Below are 18,783 nucleotides of genomic sequence, written 5' to 3' on the forward strand. Positions count from 1 at the left end.
ATGGATCTAGAGATTTGTTTACATACCTGTCTCTTTGCCTCCCTGTTTAATTTCCTACCCCTCATTGTGAGCTCTTTGAAGGCAGAAATCAAATCTTACCTATCTTGCTTTGCCCATTATTTAGCATTTAGAACAGAAGACATGGAGTTCAAATTTGAACTCAGCCTATATGATTCTGAGCCCTGGGATATTTCATTTATTCAACAAATATTTATTGAGAGTCTGCTATGTACATGGTTATATGCCACCTGCTAGATACAGAGATGTCAACACAGAAGGGGCAATTGGGTGATGGCCACCACAATCCTCTAGGTACGTAAACAAAATCCTGGCTGAATCTAGCCCAAAGATAATGTTGAAACAAATTGAACTTAGACTTCCTTTGACTGGAAAATTAGAGTGTCTGAATCTTCAACAAAATGTCTAGAATAAATGGTTTAGTTATCTGATATCTTTAAAGGGCCTGAATAATTTGGTGGCAGTGAGAACACAGGTCCTACTCCTTTGTCTTACCTGGAGCATTTTAAGTTGCAACTTCCATCGACCAGAAATTAGTAGTCATGATGCTGACCTACTCTGGGGACCCTGGAAAGATTAAGCTATAGTCACAGATTGCTGTGATTAACTGGAGGTGGTGCTCTCAGGCTTACACTGTTCTCCTTCAGGCTGGCTTCCCATGCAAATCAGTCATATTTGAATAAATGGCTCATATTCCCTTTAACACAGAGAATCCCCAGAAACATGGAAAAGGGTCAATTTGTGACCCAGGAAGGGGAAAATTCTCAAAGAGAAAGACAATACTCAAGATCAGGTTGGGTTTAATCAGCCATGTTGAGAGAAACAAAAATTATTAAAGCTATCCACTCCTTAGGGCACTAGATCTTTCAGGAGACATCCCTTCCCTCTTCTTCTACCCAACTCTTCAATGTTTTTGCTTGTCCTACTTTCTCAGTGTCTTTTTCATCGAGGAGCCTGCATCCAGGGGCTCTCAAAGTCTCTGCTCCAACCCAGGCTTTGTCATATATGTGTTATATTACTTTGATTGAGCATCAGTTTCTGCATCTAAAAAACAGAGATTAAAATGCCAATTTATTAGCTTCCTAGGGTCGCTATAACTGAGAACCATAAACTGAGTGGCTCAAATAACAAAAATTTATTATCTCACAGTTCTAGAGGCTAGAAGTTCAAGATCAAGGTATCAGAAGGTGTCTTATTCTGTCACTTGAGCTGGAGTACAGTGGCGTAATCATAGCTCACTGCAGCCTCCAACTTCTGGGCTCAAGCAATACTTCTTCCTCAGCCTCTTGAGTAGCTGAGATTAGAGACACATGCCATCATACCCAGCTAATTGTTTGTATTGTTTCTGGAGGTGTGGCCTCACTATGTTGCCCAGGCTGGACATTAACTCCTAGCCTCAAGTGATCCTTCCACCTCAGCCTGCCAGTGCACTGGGATTACAGGCATGAGCCACCATGCCCAGCCAAGGATTGGTTCCTTCTAAGGACAGTGAGGAATAACCTCTTCCAGGCCTTCTCCTAGCTTCTGGTAGCCTCAGGCATCCTTTGGCTTATAGGTGGTATTAGTCTTGTGTCTTCATACTGTCCTCCCTCTGTGCATGTCTGTCTCCAGACTTCCCCTTTTTATAAGGACACAATCACATTGGATTAAAGATCACCCTAATGACATCATTTTAACTTGATTGTTTCTACAGAGACCCTATTTCCAAATAAAGTCACATTCAACAGCACTGGGAGGTTAGGGCTTCAACATAATGTTTGAGATGAAAAGATTCAGCCCATAATAGCCAACTTCATACCATCTTTATAGCAATTAAATGTTCTAAAGTGTGAAAAATGGCATGTGCCTAATAGGTGCTCAAAAAAAACTACACCCTTACACCCTTTCCTTCCTTTTCCTTTCAGCTTTGCTTTTTTGCCTTACCTGAATCATTTTTTTCTCTTGGTACCCTAAAATAAGCTTTTCTCCCAAAACACATTTTTTGTCACTGCTTTCTTCAATCTAGGCTTTGCAAGAATATGAGGGTATAACCGAACATAGTGCTGTGTACTTACTAGGTGCTCAGTAAACATTTTACAGTGAAAGGTTTCATTTTTTTTTAAGTACCCTGATACTTACATTTTTCAAAAATATATTTTCAATGGAATGAGTGAGAATGTAATGGTATAATGTTAAATATGAATTAATTAAAAGCACATTTAGCTTTGAATCTGTGTGTTGGATATATAAAGCGCTATGGTGTTTAGGTGCACAAAATGTTAAAAGGCAGTCACATTCATTTCATTATTTTGAGAGAATAAAATGAGATCATGTATGTAGAGCGTTTGACACTAGTAGGCACTCAGTAAATAGGATTTATATTTGTTGTTTTTGTTGCTAAGTCGTGGACACTACTCTCTAGGAGCTGTCAAATGAGATAGTGTAACCAGAATAGACAACCTGCTTCAAAGATAAATAGCCTCTCCCTTTGCTTTCTTCAATCTCTAATCATATGCTTATTTAAGAATTCCAGGGGCTAATCTTGAAATGACCTAGGCATGAAGTTGAGATCACAGAATCTTTCCTTCCCAGAAAAATTGTTGGGCAGTAGTTAACTTATAACCTGAGAACAGTCAAGATGATGCCAGCCAGACCTCCAAATGGTCCATTACTCAAGAGAGCCATCAGAATCAGACAAGCAGACCTGCACCCCGCACCGCTCTGGCACATAGTTTCTATGCCACCTTCTCCCTTAAAATCACTTTGGCTACCCTGAGAATTTGCAGTGTTCTTTGAGACATTAGTTCACCATCTCCTCAGGTTGTCAGCTGGATGTATTCAAATAAACCTGTTTTTCCTTCCACCAACTCTTGTCTCTTGAATCTAGCTTTCAAGCAGTGAACAGCAGAACCTGAGTTTCCAATAGTAAAGGGTACCACAGAAACACTGAGGAAGGAGGAATCCCTCTAGGCCTGGGAACATTTCTAGGAGTCAAAGACTTTATCAGCTCAACATGCAGAGGAAGGAAAGCTCAAGACAGTCAGTAATAGCATGTACAAAGGCAGAAAGAACGGGGCAAACACTACATGTTCTGAAACTTGTCTGTCAACTCACCTCTGCTGGAGTATAAAGTACCTATTTCACATATATGGACAATCAGTTGGAGAGTTCAGCAGGACCGATCAGTCATGGAAGTCTACATATGAGACTTGTATAAGAGGTCAGGAGTTTGTCCCAAAAATGATGGGGAAATCACCGGAGATTTATAAGTAGGAAGTAGCTACATTTATCCAGTCAGTCAAGAATTCATTCGTATAACAAACATTGCTATTTGTTATACTAAGTTTTGTGCTAGTTTTGGGGTAATAAAAGATGAAAAAGACATAGATCCTATCCTGGTTAGGTTTGGAATTGCATTTATAATATGGGCTTTTCAGTTATTCCAAGTGGAATATTCCTAATTCTCTAGGCTTTGGATTTTTCCTTTGTAACATGGCAATATTAGACAAAATTGCTAAGGGTCATTCCTGGGAAAGTTTTACAAATTCCAGAGAATAAAGGCAGAGTTTGCTTTACACTGGAGGCTTTATAATATAGTGCTTAGACGTAAGGGCTGTAAAGTTAGAAAGACTGTGGTTCAAAGTCAAGCTTCATTGCTAATCATTTACCACTAATTATATTTCACCAAATTACTTAACTTTTCTAAACTTCAGTAACCTCATCTACAAAGCAAGACTATCAATACACACTTTGAGGGGATGTTATAAGCATTCAATATGAAAATAATGTGAGCCACTTAGAGAAAAGCCTAGCACATATGAATACTCAATGCATAAATGGCAGACACAGAACTCATATATATATAAACTCATGTCTATACTATATATATATTCTATATACATAAATCCTATATGTGTACCATGTATATACATACATAGGGATATATCATGTGTGTGTATATATGCTATATACATACAGTTCATCACATATGTATATGAACATTCAGATATATTAACCTGTATTTGGGTTGGATTATTGTGTTAGTCCATTTTCACACTGCTGATAAAGACATACCCAAGACTGGGAAGAAAAAGAGATTTAATGGATTTACAGTTCCACCTGGCAAGGGAGGCCTCAAAATCATGACAGAAGGTGAAAGGCACTTCTTACCTGGCAGCAGCAAGAGAGAGAATGAGACAGAAGTGAAAGCGGAAACCCCTTATACATCTTGTGAGACTTATTCACTACCACAAGAACATGGAGGAAACTGCCCCCGTGATTCAATTACCTCCCACTGGGCCCCTCCCACAGCACATGGGAATTATGGGAGTACAATTCAAGATGAGATTTGGGTGAGGACACAGAGCGAAAACATTATCAATTATTAATGCTTATTTTTTAAAAAGCAATGCACATATTGGTAATTACATCTTCTAGTACTTCTGATATGCACCAAGAAACCGAAATCAACTTCAGAAGGTAGAAGTTGTTTTCCTCAAAGGGTATCTTTGTCTTATCTGGCTAAATATAAAGAAATGGCTTGTAATAATTTATAAATGTCTGATTACTCAACAAACACCTTGCAAATATTCCACTGTTGGGAACTGGATTTGCTCATCATATGCTTAAATTAATATTTTAACATAATTTAATGTAAATGGTAATCTGATAAATATGAATCCAAGCCAAACATTAAATAATTTATGCGACTTGACTTGCTGAAAAGAAGAAATGGCTTGTGATTGCTTAGTACATATGAAATATTTATGTATCATGCTACCTGGAGAAATTAAAGCATTCTGTGCTTCTGGCCTGTCCCTTCAACGAAAGATGTGCTAATAACATTGTATATGTTGAAGAGACTAGAGAAGAGATATGTCAAATAATCTATCTTGTACTCCCTGCCACTTGGCCACAGATGCCCCCCCAACCTAGCCAATATGAGCCCTAACTTCAAATCACATCAGCAACCACTCCTTCATATTTGCTGCAGACACTAGGTTGTCTTGTTGCAGGAAATCAGAATAGCTAGGGCTTTCTTATGATCGTAACATACCAAGGAGAAAACAAAGAGGACTCTTGTACCTACTGATAATGAAGTAGGCTTTACTATACAGCATGATTTCATGCATATTTATTACTTGAATGGGTTTGCCTAGAGCAAAAACTTAGTAGACAATGATTACACTTTTGGGCAAGGCACTATACCAAAAATGTGAGATATAAGTGATTCAATAATGAAGTCAAACTGGTATCATGTGCCTGTAATGTGCAAGGCAATGAAAATACAGGCTGAGAAGCTGCTTCTGCAATGCAGCCTTAATTCATGAGTGTAAATGATGCAATCTGAAGATCTAAAATTCAACAGAAGGTGGAAATGTGCTAAGAACATAATTGGGGATTAAAACCTAGTCCAGTGTTGACTTAGGAACCACAGAAGCAACCCCTGACTCATGCCCCAGATTGGCAGGAGATCCTGCAATAGGAGAATTCCTTCAATTGGAAGAACACATTATTGATATTTGGCTCATCACTGGGTTTTTTACTTAGCTGAATAAGGTGAGAGATGAATTGCAAGAAAATAAAAATAAAAGTGGTGGTTTTATTTACTGGTTATAAAGGAAAGGAAAAGCACAGTCACTAAGAAAAAATTGGGAAAAAAAGAATTCTCAGGTAGATATTTTGACAAGATTTTGCCACATGTTGTGATGAAATCCACAAAATCTTCAGTAAATCTTATCTTACTTAATGATGCTTCCTTTTGTAAACATTAGTGCTAATAACTGATATATATCCAGTCCTCCTCTTTTTTCAGGTGAAGAAAATCAAAATATTTTATCTCAGAATATATTTATTTGGCATATTTTGAAATAGTTGCCACAGAGCCAGCAGACTGCAGTGGCCCCACAAAGCTGTCTTTTGTGGGGGCAATTTACATCTGTAGAGAATCATCACTAATACAGCCAGGTCTTTCTTTTCTAGGCTTTTTCCTGAACTGGGAAATATTAACTGAGAGTCTGGCACCATTAAAGTTCTGAAAAGGAACATTTACCATCTATTGTCTCTGACAGCTGCTACCTATAGGGTTCATCTACATAACAAGACCCCCTTTGCTAGCCAAGCCTCTTTCTCTCTTCCAAAACCCTTCCTGCCAATAAAACCTGTTATTGTCCATGCTCTGAGACCACATTCTTTCTATAACTTCAAGATCGCATATAAATTTCTGTCCCTTCTTGGGAGTTTGGGTCTTCATTCTAAAGGCTCTCATGTATTCATGTTAAATAAATTTGTATGCCTTTTCTCCTATTAATCGATCTGCCTCATGTCAGTGATTGTTCAGTGAGTTTTTAGAGGGCCTTGGTCCCCAAACAGGCATATTGAGGACTAAATTTGTTGACCTCTTGGTGGTTGGCTAAGACCATGTTATTAGTTTTCTAGGGCTGCTGTAACATAGTACCACAAACTGGGTGTCTTAAAACAACAGACATGTTTGGTCTCCCAGTTCTGGGGGCTATATGTAATTAAGGTGCCTGAAGGCTGTGCTCCCTCTGGAACATTTAGGGGAGAATGCTTTCTTGCCTCTTCTTAGCTTCTGGTATTTGAATGGCATTGGAATGCCTGTGACTGGTACTGGAATGCAAGGAATCCTTGGCTTGCAGCTGCAGCTCTGCAATCTGTTCCTCTATCATCATATGGCCTTCTTTCCTCATGTGTCTGTGCTTGGGTTTTCTCCTCTTCTTATAAGAACCCCATTCATATTGGATTAGGGCCCACTCTACATGAGAATGACCTCGTCTTAACTTGATTACACCTGCAAAGACCCTACTTCCATATAAGATCAAATTTATAGGTACTGGGTTTAGGACAGCCACATACCATTTAGGTAAACACAATTCAACTCATAACAAACCACATATATGGTTCTGGCCAATAAATGTGAGCAGAAGTAACATGCGTCTTTTCCAGGCTATAGCACTCAAATAGTGGTGGAAGACCTGATGCGGTCTTCTCTATGCATGTTTCCTTCCAACATTCCCAGTGGTGACTATTTTTTCAGCATGGGTTGTGTAGTGAAAACAGCACAGAGCTAATTTCTAGTAGACATACAGTATGAGTAAATAATATATCTCTACTGTCTTAAGCCATTGCAATTTGGAGTTGTTTGTTACTATGGCATAATTTGGCCTATCCTGACTGATATACTTCTAGTGTAGGAGTCTTGGCTTGAGGAGGAAATGAAGTGATAGTAAAACCTGTCCAAAGAAGATTGGAGACATTCAGGTTAATTTAATTAAAAGGCACTAAAATTTGAACAGGGGAAATGTAAGCAGAAGAATCCCTGGGGAAATTTCAAGTTAAAGACCTGAGCGGAATTAGTACTAAGAGCCAGTTCAGTATGAGATTTAGTTTCTGTTTTGTTTTGTTTTTAATGAAAAGAAGACCCTTGTATTGAGTTTATACAGTGAGCTGAGCTCATTTAATCCTCACAATAACCCCATGAAGCAAGCACTTTTTATAGATACTGATATAGGAGTTAAGAAGGAATTACTTAGGCAGATAGCAAGGGCATGGGAGTCCTCTGTAAGGCTTTTCTTTTTAATGAGAAGCAGCCCCACATCATTTTCTAACAAAGAGCAGTCTGCAAGCTGGGAGCTTGCATGGGTGAATGCCAGCAAGAACTAAGGGCTAGACATTTTCAAAATGGCGGCTCCATCTTCCCTTCTCTGCCAGCCACTGTGTACTATAAGGAGCAGACAAGTTGGCACCAATCAACTGGAAAGCTCATTTGCATAATAAGATTAGGGTGGGGAGACCAGCCTTTTTCAAGTGCTATGTAAACGTCATACCTGATAGAACAAATCTATGAGCCCTATGTAAATCAAACACTCAAACTGAACTGTAAAACTTGGTGCATTCACCACTAGCCAGTCTTTTCTGTTCGGAGACTCCTTCCCCTTTAGAGGAAGCTGTTTCTCTTTCTCTTCTGTTCTACCTATTAAACCTCTGCTTCTAAACCCCTTGTGTGTTTCCATGTCCTAAATTTTCCTGGCACATGACGACGAACCCCAGATTTATACCCTAGACAACTTAGCCGCTTCAACACAACTCTTCCAACCTTGATCCTGATAGACAGAGTTTCAGCATCCTAGGAATTTATCAAGAGCAAACATATGGTCAGGTAATTCAAACAGTAGAAAGAGTGTGAAAGAACTAAGAAAGGGACAAAAAGGACCACAGTATAGTAGAGAAAAAGGAGATTAATCTCAGCAGGAATGGCGGTGGGAAATCTGGTATATCATCTAAAAAGGACAAGATGTGCACAGAAGCTTTAAGCATAAATAGGATTTTCACAAATGGTGAAGAAAAGGTGCCAAAGGAATTCAGGGAGGAAGAATTGACATAGCAAAAAACACAACAGTGAGAAAACACAGGCAATATATCAGAATCGAAGAATATCTAGGTATTTTTAATTATTATCATAAAGATTTCATCACACATCAAATCACATTAGAGACGCTTTATTGGAAGTAGAGAGACTAGTTTGGTTCTGAGAGAGTTTAGATACACTTGGGGAGGGGCAGAGCAAGATGGCAGAATAGAGAGCTCCACTGATTGTTCCCCCAACAAGGACACCAATTTAACAATTATCAAACATAATAAAAGGCATGGAAGAGGTAGGAGAAACAAATCACCAGTGCCACCCCTCTCTCATCCCCTGGCAGCAGCAGCATGGTGCAAAAAGCATTTCAGTGTGTTGGGGAGAGAGAAAGAGCACAGAAATCATGAGGCGTTAAACTCAGTGCTGACCTATTATAGTAGAAAACAAAACAAAACCAAAATCAGCTGACATCTGCTTACAGAGGGAGCATTTAAGCCAGCCCCAGCCAGAGGGAAATCATCTATCTCAGTGGTCCATACTTGAGTTCCTGCAAGCCTCACCATCTTGGGATAAAGTACTCTGGGACTCTACATAAAATTGAAAGGCAGTCTAGGCCACAAGGACTGTAACTCCTAGGTGACTCCTGGTGCTGAACTGGGCTGAGAGCCAGTGGACTAGGAGGGCACATACCCTACTGAAACATCAGCTGAGACAGCAAAGGAAGTGTTGGCATCACCCCTCCCCTAAACCCAGGCAGCACAGCTCATGGCTCCCAAAGAGAACCCTTCCCTCTACTTGAGGAGAGGAGCGAGAAGAGTGGGGAGGACTTTGTCTTGCATCTTGGATATGAGCTCAGCCACAGGACGTACCAGTCAGAGTCATGAGGCCTCCTTTCCAAGCCTTGGCTCCCAGATGACAGTTCTAGACACAGCCTTAGCCATAAAGGAACCCACTGCCTTGAAGGGAAGGACCCAGTCCTGGAAAGATTCATCACCTGCTAACTGAAGACCCCTTAGTCCCTGAATAACCAGAAGCAGTGATACCCAGGTACCCTGTCAAGGGCCTTGATTGAGATACTGAGATTTGCTGGCTTCAGGTGTCAGCCGGTTACAGGGAAGAAGAGCACCAAGTAGGCTCTTGGGTCCTCAATACCAGGACTTGGCTCTCGGGTGGTATTTCTGGACCTACCATGGACCAGAGTCCACTGCCTTTATGGGTGAGTCCCAAGCCAGGCAGCATTCACCACAAGCTGACTGGAGAGCACTGGGCCTTAAGGGAACATAAGCAATAGTCTGGCAATACTCTTCATGGGTCTGTGGTGGTGGTGACCACAGGTGAAAGTCCTCTGCCTTTGGAAAGAGAGAAGAGTAGGAAGAAAAGTGACTTGTGCTTTGAGTGCCAGCTTAGCCTCAGTACAGTAGAATAACAGGTAGGCGTCTAAGGTTTGACTTTCATCCCTGGGTCCTAGATGGTACCTCTGGAACTGCCTGGCTTCTGGGAGAATTCACCACACTAAATGAAAGGACACAGGCCTTTCATTAATCATTTAGTTATGCATCTTAAAGAATTAGAAAAGCAAGAGCAAAGCAAACCCAAAATCAGCTTTGCCACCTGCTGATTGTAGAGCCCCAGGGCCTTGAACAAACATAGACAGTAGCAAGGGAGTGGGTACAACAGGCCTGGGGTGAGATCTAATACTGTACTGGCATCCAGCACCCTCCTAGTGGTGGTAGCCACAGGGGTGCTTGTGTCACTACACACCCAGGACCTAGTGGCTCAGAAAAGAGAGAGAGACAGAGAGAGAGAGAGACTCCACTTCTTTGGGAGAAAGTAAGGAAGGATAACAAGAGTCTCTGCCTGGTAATACAGAGAATGCTTCCAGATTGTGTCTAAGACCATCAAGGTGGTACATCCATGAATCTGCAAGAACCACAGTGTATCTGAGTTTGGGGTGCCTACTAAAAGAGATACAGCTTAGATCACAATTCCCAAGTCCACTGGAAAATCTGGAAAGCCTTCCCAGGAAGGACAGGTACAAACAAGGGTTAGGGTGCCTACTAAAAGAGATACAGCTTAGATCACAACACCCAAGTCCATTGGAAAATCTGGAAAGCCTTCCTAAAAATGACAGGTACAAACAAGTCCAGATTGAGAAGACTACAGTAAATACCTAACTCTTCAATACCCAGACACAAAGAACCTCTACAGGCATCAAGATCATCCAGGAAAACACAACCTCATCAAGTGAACTTTAAATTAGGCACCAGGGACCAGTCCTGGAGAAACAGAGATATGTGACCTTTCAGACAGAGAACTCAACATAGTTATTTGTTTCTTTGAACTCAAAGAAATTCAAGATTACACAGAGAAGGGATTCAGAATTCTATTGGATAAATTTAATGAAGAGATTTAAATAATTTTTAAAAATCAAAGAGAAATTCTGGAGCTGAAAAAAGCAATTGGTACATAAGCAGAATATGTATGAAAAAATAATGAATAAATTTAAATAATATATTTCAAACATGTTTGTAAATGCAGTTGGCATAATGAAGAATGCCACAGTGTCTCTTAATAGTAGAATTGATCAGGCAGAAGAAAGAATTAGTGAATTTAAAGACAGCCTATTTGAAAATACACAGAGGAGACTAAAAATAAAATAAAAAAGAGTTAGGCATGTCTGCAAGATTTAGAAAATAGCCACAAAAGGGCAAATCTAAGAGCTATGGGCCTTAAAGAAGAGGTAGAGAAAGAGACAGGCATAGAAAGTTTATTCAAAGAAATGACAGAGAACTTCTCAAACCTACAGAAAGATATCAATATCCAAGTACAAGAAGGTTATAGAACACCAAGCAGATTTAACAAAGAAGACTACCTTAAGACATTTAATAATCAAACAGCCAAACTTCAAGATAAAAAAGGATTCTAAAAGCAGGAAGAGAAAAGAAACAAATGACATACGATGGAGCTCCTCTAATATGTCTGGTAGCAAATTTTTCAGTGGAAATCTGGCAGGCCAGGAAAAAGCGGTATGACATATTTAAAGTGCTGAGGGGAAAAAAAAATTTTTACCCTAGAATACTATATCCCAGGAAAATATTCTTCAAACATAAAGGAGGAATAGATTCTCCCAGACAAACAAAAGCTGAGGGACTTCCCAGATGACAAACAACAGACTTATCTTACAAGAAATGCTAAATGGAAACCTTCAACCATAAAGAAAAGAACTTTAATGAGCAATGACAGATCATATGAAGGTACAAAAGTCATTAGTAATAGTAAGCACACAGAAAAACCTAGATTATTATAACACTATAACTGTGGTCTTAAGTAGAAACACTAAATGATGAACCAATCAAAAACAGTAACTACAACAACTTATCAAAACAGAGTAAAATAAGATATAAATAGAACAACAAAAAGTTAAAAAGCATGGGAACAAAGTTAAAGCATAAAGTCTTTATTAGTTTTATTTTTGCTTGTTTATCCAAACAGTGTTAAGTTGTCATCAGTTTAAAATAATGGGTTATAAGATAGTATTTGCAAACCTCATGGTAACCTCAAATTTAAAAACATACAATGGACATGCCAAAAATTAAAAGCAAGAAACTAAATCATGTCACCAGAGAAAATCACCGTCACTAAAAGGAAGACAGGAAGAAAGAAAAGGAGGAAAAGAATGCCACAAAGCAACCAGAAAACAAATAACAAAATGGCAGGAGTAAGTTCTTATCAATAACAACATTAAATGTAAATGAACTAAATTCTTTCATCAAAAGATATAGAGTGGCTGAATGGATTGAAAAAACAAGACCCAATTATCTGTTGCCTACAAGAAACACACTTCACTTATAAAGATACATGTAGACTGAAAGTAAAGGAATATAAAAAGATATGCCATGCCAATGGAAGCCAAAAAAGAGCAGGAGTTGCTATAATTATATTAGACAAAATAGACTTCAAGACAAAAATTATAAGAAAAAACAAAAAAGTTACTATATAATGACAAATGGGCCAATTCAGCAAGAGGATATAAAAATTGTAAACATATGGACACCCAATAATGAAGCAATCAGATATATAAAGCAAATATTATTAGAGAGGATAGGCCCAAGTACAACAACATCTGGAGACTTCAACACCCTACTTTCAGCTTTGGACAGATCTTCCAGACAGAAAATCAACAAAGAAACACTGGACTTCATCTGCACTAAAGACCAAATAGAACTCATAGATATTTACAGAACATTAGATCATTCTCAAGGATAGACCACATGTTATATTACAAAATGTCTTTAAACATTCAAAACATTTAAACAATATCAACCATCTTCTCTGACCACAGTGGAATAAAACTACAAATCAAGAACAAGAGGAATCTTGGAAACTATACAAATACACGGAAGTTAAACAATATGCTTCTAAATGACCAGTGGGTCAATGAAGAAATTAAGAAGGAAATTGAAAAAATTCTTGAAACAAATTATAATGGAAACACAACATAACAAAACCTATGGGATATAGCAAAAGCAGTATTAAGAGGGAAGTTTATAGGTGTAAGTACCTATATTTAAAAAGACTTTAAATAACTTAATTATGCATCTTGAAGACTTAGAAAGGCAAGAGCACAGCAAACCCAAAAGTAGTAGAAGAAAATAAATAATAAAAATCAGAGAAGAAATAAATGAAATTGAAATAAAGAAAACAATACAAAGGATCAATGAAACAAAAACCTTTTGAAAACATAAACAAAATTGACAAGCCTTTAGCTAGGCTAACTAAGAAAATAAGAGAAAAGATCTAAATAAGTAAAATCAGGAATGAAAAAGGAGACATTACAACTAATACCACAAAAATTCACAGGATCATTACTGATTACTATGAGAAACTATATGCCAGTAAATGTGAAGATGTAGAAGAAATGAAATTTAACCTTCCAAGATTGAACCAGGAAGAAATCCAAAACCTGAACAGACTAATAACTAGCAACAAGACTGAAGCCATAATAAAAAGTCTGCCAGTAAAAAAACCCAGAACCCAAATTCACTGCTGAATTTCACCATTTAAAGAAGAAGTAATAGCAATTCTACTCAAACTCTTCCAAAAGATAGAGGAGGAGAAAATACACCATTTAAAGAAAAAGTAACAGCAATTCAACTCAAACTCTCCCAAAAGATAGAGGAGGAGGAAATACATCCAAACTCATTCAAAAAGGCTAGTATTACCCTAATACCAAAAGGAGACAAAGAACACCAAAAAAAAAATAAAATTACAGGCAAATATTTCTGATGAATACTTATGCAATAATCCTCAACAAAATACTTGCAAACTGAATTGAACAACACATGAGAAAGATCATTCATCACAAATGACCAAGTGGGATTTATCCCTAGGATGCAAGGGTAGTTCAATATGCATGAATCAAACAATGTGATATACTATAACAAGAGAATGAAGGACAAAAACCATATGAACATTTCAATTGATGCAGAAAAGGCATTTGATAATATTTAACATCCTTTCATAGTAAGAACACTCAGATATACCCCAACATAATAAAAGCTATATATGACAAACCCACAGCTAGTATCATGCTAAATGGAGAAAATCTAAAAGCCTTTCTTCTAATATCGGGAACATGACAAGGATGCCCACATTCACCACTGTTAATCAACATAGTATGGGAAGTCCTAGCTGGAGCAATCAGACAAGAGAAAGAAATAGAGGACATCCAAATTGGAAAGGAAGAAGTCAAATTATCCTTGTTTGCAGATGATATAACCTTATATTTGGAAAATCATAGAAACTGTAGCAAAAACCTATTAGAACTGATAAATTCAGAAAAGTTGCAAAATACAAAATCAATACACAAAAATCAATAACATTTTCATATGCCAACAGTGAATATTCTGGAAATTAAAAAAGTAATCCCATTTACAATAATCACAAATAAAATTAAATACCTAAAAATTAACTAATGTTGTAAAAGATCTGTATAATGAAAATTATAAAATGTTAATGAAAGAAATCAAAGAAGACTCCAAAAAATGAAAAGATATTCCACGTTCATGTATTGGAAGAATCAATATTGTCAACAATGTCCATACTACTCAAAGTCATCTACAGATTCAACGCAATCCCTATCAAAATACCAAAGACATTCCTCACATCAATAAAAAAGCAACCCTAAAATTTATATGGAACCAGGAAAGTCCCTGAATAGCCAAAGCTATCTTAAACAAAAAGAACAAAAAAAAAAACAAAACCAGAGGAATCACATTATTTGACTTCAAATTATACTACAGAGTTACAGTAATCAAAACAGCATAGTACTGGCATAAAAACAGACACATATCACGCCTGTAATCCCAGCACTTTGGGAGGCTGAGACGGGCGGATCCCAAGGTCAGGAGATTGAGACCATCCTGGCTAACACAGTGAAACCCTGTCTCTATTAAAAATACGAAAAATTAGCCAGGCGTGGTGGCAGGCACCTGTAGTCCCAGCTACTCTGAAGGCTGAGGCAAGAGAATGGCATGAACCCAGGAGGCAGAGCTTACAGTAAGCCGAGATTGCACCACTGCACTCCAGCCTGGGTGACAGAGTGAGACTCCGTCTCAAAAAAAAAAAAAAAGACACATGGACCAATGGAACAGAATAGAGAATCAAAAACCAAATCCACATACCTACAGTGAACTCATTTTTGACAAAGAGGCCAAGAACATACACTGGGGAAAAGACAGTCTCTTCAGTAAATGGTACTGGGTAAAGTGGATATCCATATGCAGAAGAATGAAAGTAAACCCTTACCTATTGCCATATGCAAAAACCAAATAAAAATGAACTAAAGATTTAAATCTAAGACCATAAAAGTTTAAACTACTACAGGAAAACTTTGAGGAAACACTCCAGGACTTTGGAGTTGGCAAAGACTTCTTGAGTAGCACCCCATAAGCACAGGCAACCAAAGAAAATATGGACAAATGGAATCATATCAAGTTAAAAAGCTTCTGCACAGCAAAGGAAACAATCAAAAAACTGAAAAGACAATCCACAGAATGGGAGAAAATATTTGCAAACTATCCATCTGACAACAGATTAATAACCAGAATATAAAAGGAGCTCAAACAATTTTATAGGAAAAAAACTTAATATTCCATTTTTAAAATGGGCAAAAGATTTGAATAGATATTTCTCAAAAGAAGACATACAAATGGCAAACAGCCATATAAAAAGTTACTCAACATTATTCATTGTCAGAGAAATACAAATCAAAACTACAATGAGATATCATCTTATACCAGTTAAAATGTCTTATATCCAATAGATAGGCAATAAAAAATGCTAGTAAGGATACGACCAAAGGGAACCCTCATATACTGTTGGTGGGAATGTAGACTAGTACAACCACCATGGAAAACCATTTAGAGGTTCCTTAAAAAACTTAAAATAGAGCTACCGTATGATCCAGCAATCTCACTCCTGGGCTTATATCCAAAAGAAAGAACATCAACATATCAAAGAGATATCTGCATTCTCATAGTTGTTGCAGTACTGTCCACAATATCCAAAATTTGGAAGCAACCTAAGTGCCCATCAACAGATAAGTGGACAAAGAAAAATGTTCTACTTATACACAATGGAGTACTATTCAGCCATAAAAAAATGAGATCCTATCATTTGTACAAACATGGATAGAACCAGTGTTCATTATGTTAAGTGAAATAAACCAGGCACAGAAAGACAAATATCACATGTTCTCACTTATCTATAGGAGTTAAAATTTAAAATTTAAAACTGAAGTCCTGGAGATAGAGTGTAGAAGAATGGTTACCAGAGGCTGAGAAGAGTAGTTAGGGGACAGGGGGAAGTGGGGATGGTTAGTATGTACAAAAAAAAAGAAAGAATGAAGAAGACCTGGTATTTGATAGCACACCAGGGTTACTATAGTCAATAATAATTTAATTGTACATTTAAAAATAACTAAGAGTATAATTGGATTGTTTTAACACAAAGGATAAATGCTTGAGGCAATAGATACCCTATTTTATCCAATGTATCAAAACATCTAATGTACCCCATAAATATATATACCTACTATATGCTCACAAAAAATAAAATTAAAAGGTTTAAAAAATATTAAAATAAATTTTTTTGAATATGCATTTGGTGTGGATTTATGAGAGACAGACTGAGATGTGTAATAGCATTAGAATTTATCATGAATGCCTGGAGGAATTTTGAGAGAGGAGTGACCCTACAAAGTCAGGCATTAGAAACTCTGTAAAGTATAACGATAGTTAGCCAGTATAGTGTGGACTCTGACTACAAGAATTTGAATAGTGACTGGGGTAGACAACCTCTATGATAGCCCCAGTGAGCCCCACCTTTTGGAATTTATGCCTTTGTCCTCTCCTTCCATCAAATAGAATGCAGCGAAGATGATAGGATGTCACTAGTGACATTAGGTTACAAAAGATTATGGCTTCTATCTTAGGTGTTATCTCTCTTTCTTTTTCTCTCTCTCACCTCTACTCCTCATGTGTGCATCTGCACATCATAGTTTCTATTACTCCTACTATCTTTTGCTCACTCTCTCTCAGATCACTAGTCCTGGGGAAAATTAAGTGCAATCTCATGAGACTACACTGTAGAGATAGCCACGTGTTCAGGAACCAAGGCCTGCTAAAAACCACATGAGAGAGATTAGAATTGAATTCCCCAACTCCCACAGTCTAGCTTCCAGATGAAACTGCAGCCCAGCACAATAGCTTGACTGCCACTGATGAGAGACCTTGAACCAAAAGCACCAGACAAGCTGTGCCCAGATTCTTTACCCACACATGTAGTGTGATTATTAGTGTTTGCTGTTTTAAGCTGCTAGATTTGGGGTAATTTGTCATGTAGTCATGTCGAAGTAATATATCTGCTATTCCATATTAGCCAGGTGGCCTTGGCCAAATTATTTAACTTTCTGGGCTTCAGTTTTGTCATCTGTAAAATAAGTCCTTAAAAATATCTAACTTATAAGATTACCATGAATTATAAATGAGATAATACATTTAAACTATTAGAGTAGTCCAGAGAACACATAAGTCTTCACTAAATGTTAGCTATTGCCTTTATAATAAATATTATAACAGATATTGGCATTGGTAGATAAGGTCACAACTAAGATGGGAGCTTACTTGGGAACTGAAGAGTTGCACATGTAAAAGAATACCTAACTAAAAATGCTTTAAGCCATAAAGTAAATTGTCAAGTTAACAAAACTGAGATCCAGAGAGGGAACTTAAGGACGATTATTAAGGCCTCTAAATCATTTTCTCTGCAATTTTCCTGACTCCTCCCTCTCTTGTCTTTCAGCTTGGTCCTTAGACTGGCTTCCAACACACAGTCAAGCAAACCACAGTAATCTTAGTCTTCATGCACTCATAACACAAATCCAACAGAGCTTCTCTTTGCCCAGGGAATCCAGTGTTTCACAGTGAGTGGGCCAACTTAGGTTGTAAAGCTATACATGGAAGGTTACACATGGACCTATCAGTTTGACCATGAGAAAGTACATCATTACCTGGATTAAATGTATTTCCTGCAATCAATCACAATGTGAAGATGTTAAGGATATGGTATTATATCCCATGAGGTATCATTGTTGGAAATGTGAGTGTGGCCAGTCTCATTGTAACACATGGTTACTGCTAATGGAGGAAACATAGAATGGGTTACTATGGAGGAAATAATAATGTCACACACAGGAAGGTATTTCAGTAGTCCAACTATGAGCTCAGATGATTTGCACTAGGGAAATCAGTAGCAATGGGGACAAAATAATCAATATGGTAAGTGTCACAGTTGAGAAGAAACGTTATAGAAAATATGGGTAAGTGTCAGACTTGAGAAGGAAGATTATAGAAACACAATAGAATTTGGTACCCAAATGAATGGAGTAGCTGAGGGAGAAAAGAGATTTGAAGAGTTCTAAGACCAGGAAAATGACAAGGAATTACACTTATCGAGCTAAAAGTCTCAGAAGGACAAGCAGCTTAAAATAGATGAAGAGTAATGTCACCAAGATGGAAAAATAGGAGTTCTCTGGCTGGGCACTGTGGTTCATGCCTGTAATCCCAGCACTTTGGGATGCCTAGGTGGGCGAATCACTTGAGGTCGGGGTTTGAGACCATCCTGGCCAACATGGTGAAACTTCATCTCTACTAAAAATACAAAAACTAGCTGAGCATGGTGGCAGGTGCCTGTAATCCCAGCTACTTGGGAGGCTGAGGCAAGAGAATTGCTTAAACTCAGGAGGTGGAGGTTGCAGTGAGCCAAGATTGTGCAAGTACACTCCACCCTGGGTGACAAAGCAAGACTCCATCTCAAAAAAAAAAAAGAATGGGAGTTCTCTGGCT

At 38.0% G+C, this 18,783-nt stretch overlaps 1 long non-coding RNA gene across 4 annotated transcripts in view, besides 2 other annotated features; it reads right to left on the bottom strand.

The window, feature by feature from the left end:
• The window catches only part of CCDC26 (CCDC26 long non-coding RNA), a 328,546-nt gene that overhangs the window by 157,443 nt on the left and 152,320 nt on the right, over window positions 1-18,783 (bottom strand). The gene's annotated exons all lie outside the window — the stretch shown is intronic.
• Window positions 5,420-6,352: an enhancer, noted in NCBI's record as "OCT4-NANOG-H3K27ac hESC enhancer chr8:130526802-130527734 (GRCh37/hg19 assembly coordinates)". NCBI's record gives its function as "activates a minimal SCP1, AML or CMV promoter by ChIP-STARR-seq in naive and primed H9 embryonic stem cells {active_cell/tissue: H9 hESC(naive and primed)}" and the evidence as "EXISTENCE:reporter gene assay evidence [ECO:0000049][PMID:30033119]".
• Window positions 6,353-7,286: an enhancer, noted in NCBI's record as "OCT4-NANOG-H3K27ac hESC enhancer chr8:130527735-130528668 (GRCh37/hg19 assembly coordinates)". NCBI's record gives its function as "activates a minimal SCP1, AML or CMV promoter by ChIP-STARR-seq in naive and primed H9 embryonic stem cells {active_cell/tissue: H9 hESC(naive and primed)}" and the evidence as "EXISTENCE:reporter gene assay evidence [ECO:0000049][PMID:30033119]".

The sequence above is a fragment of the Homo sapiens genome, chromosome 8 (genome assembly GCF_000001405.40).
Source record: "Homo sapiens chromosome 8, GRCh38.p14 Primary Assembly".
NCBI lineage: Eukaryota > Metazoa > Chordata > Mammalia > Primates > Hominidae > Homo > Homo sapiens.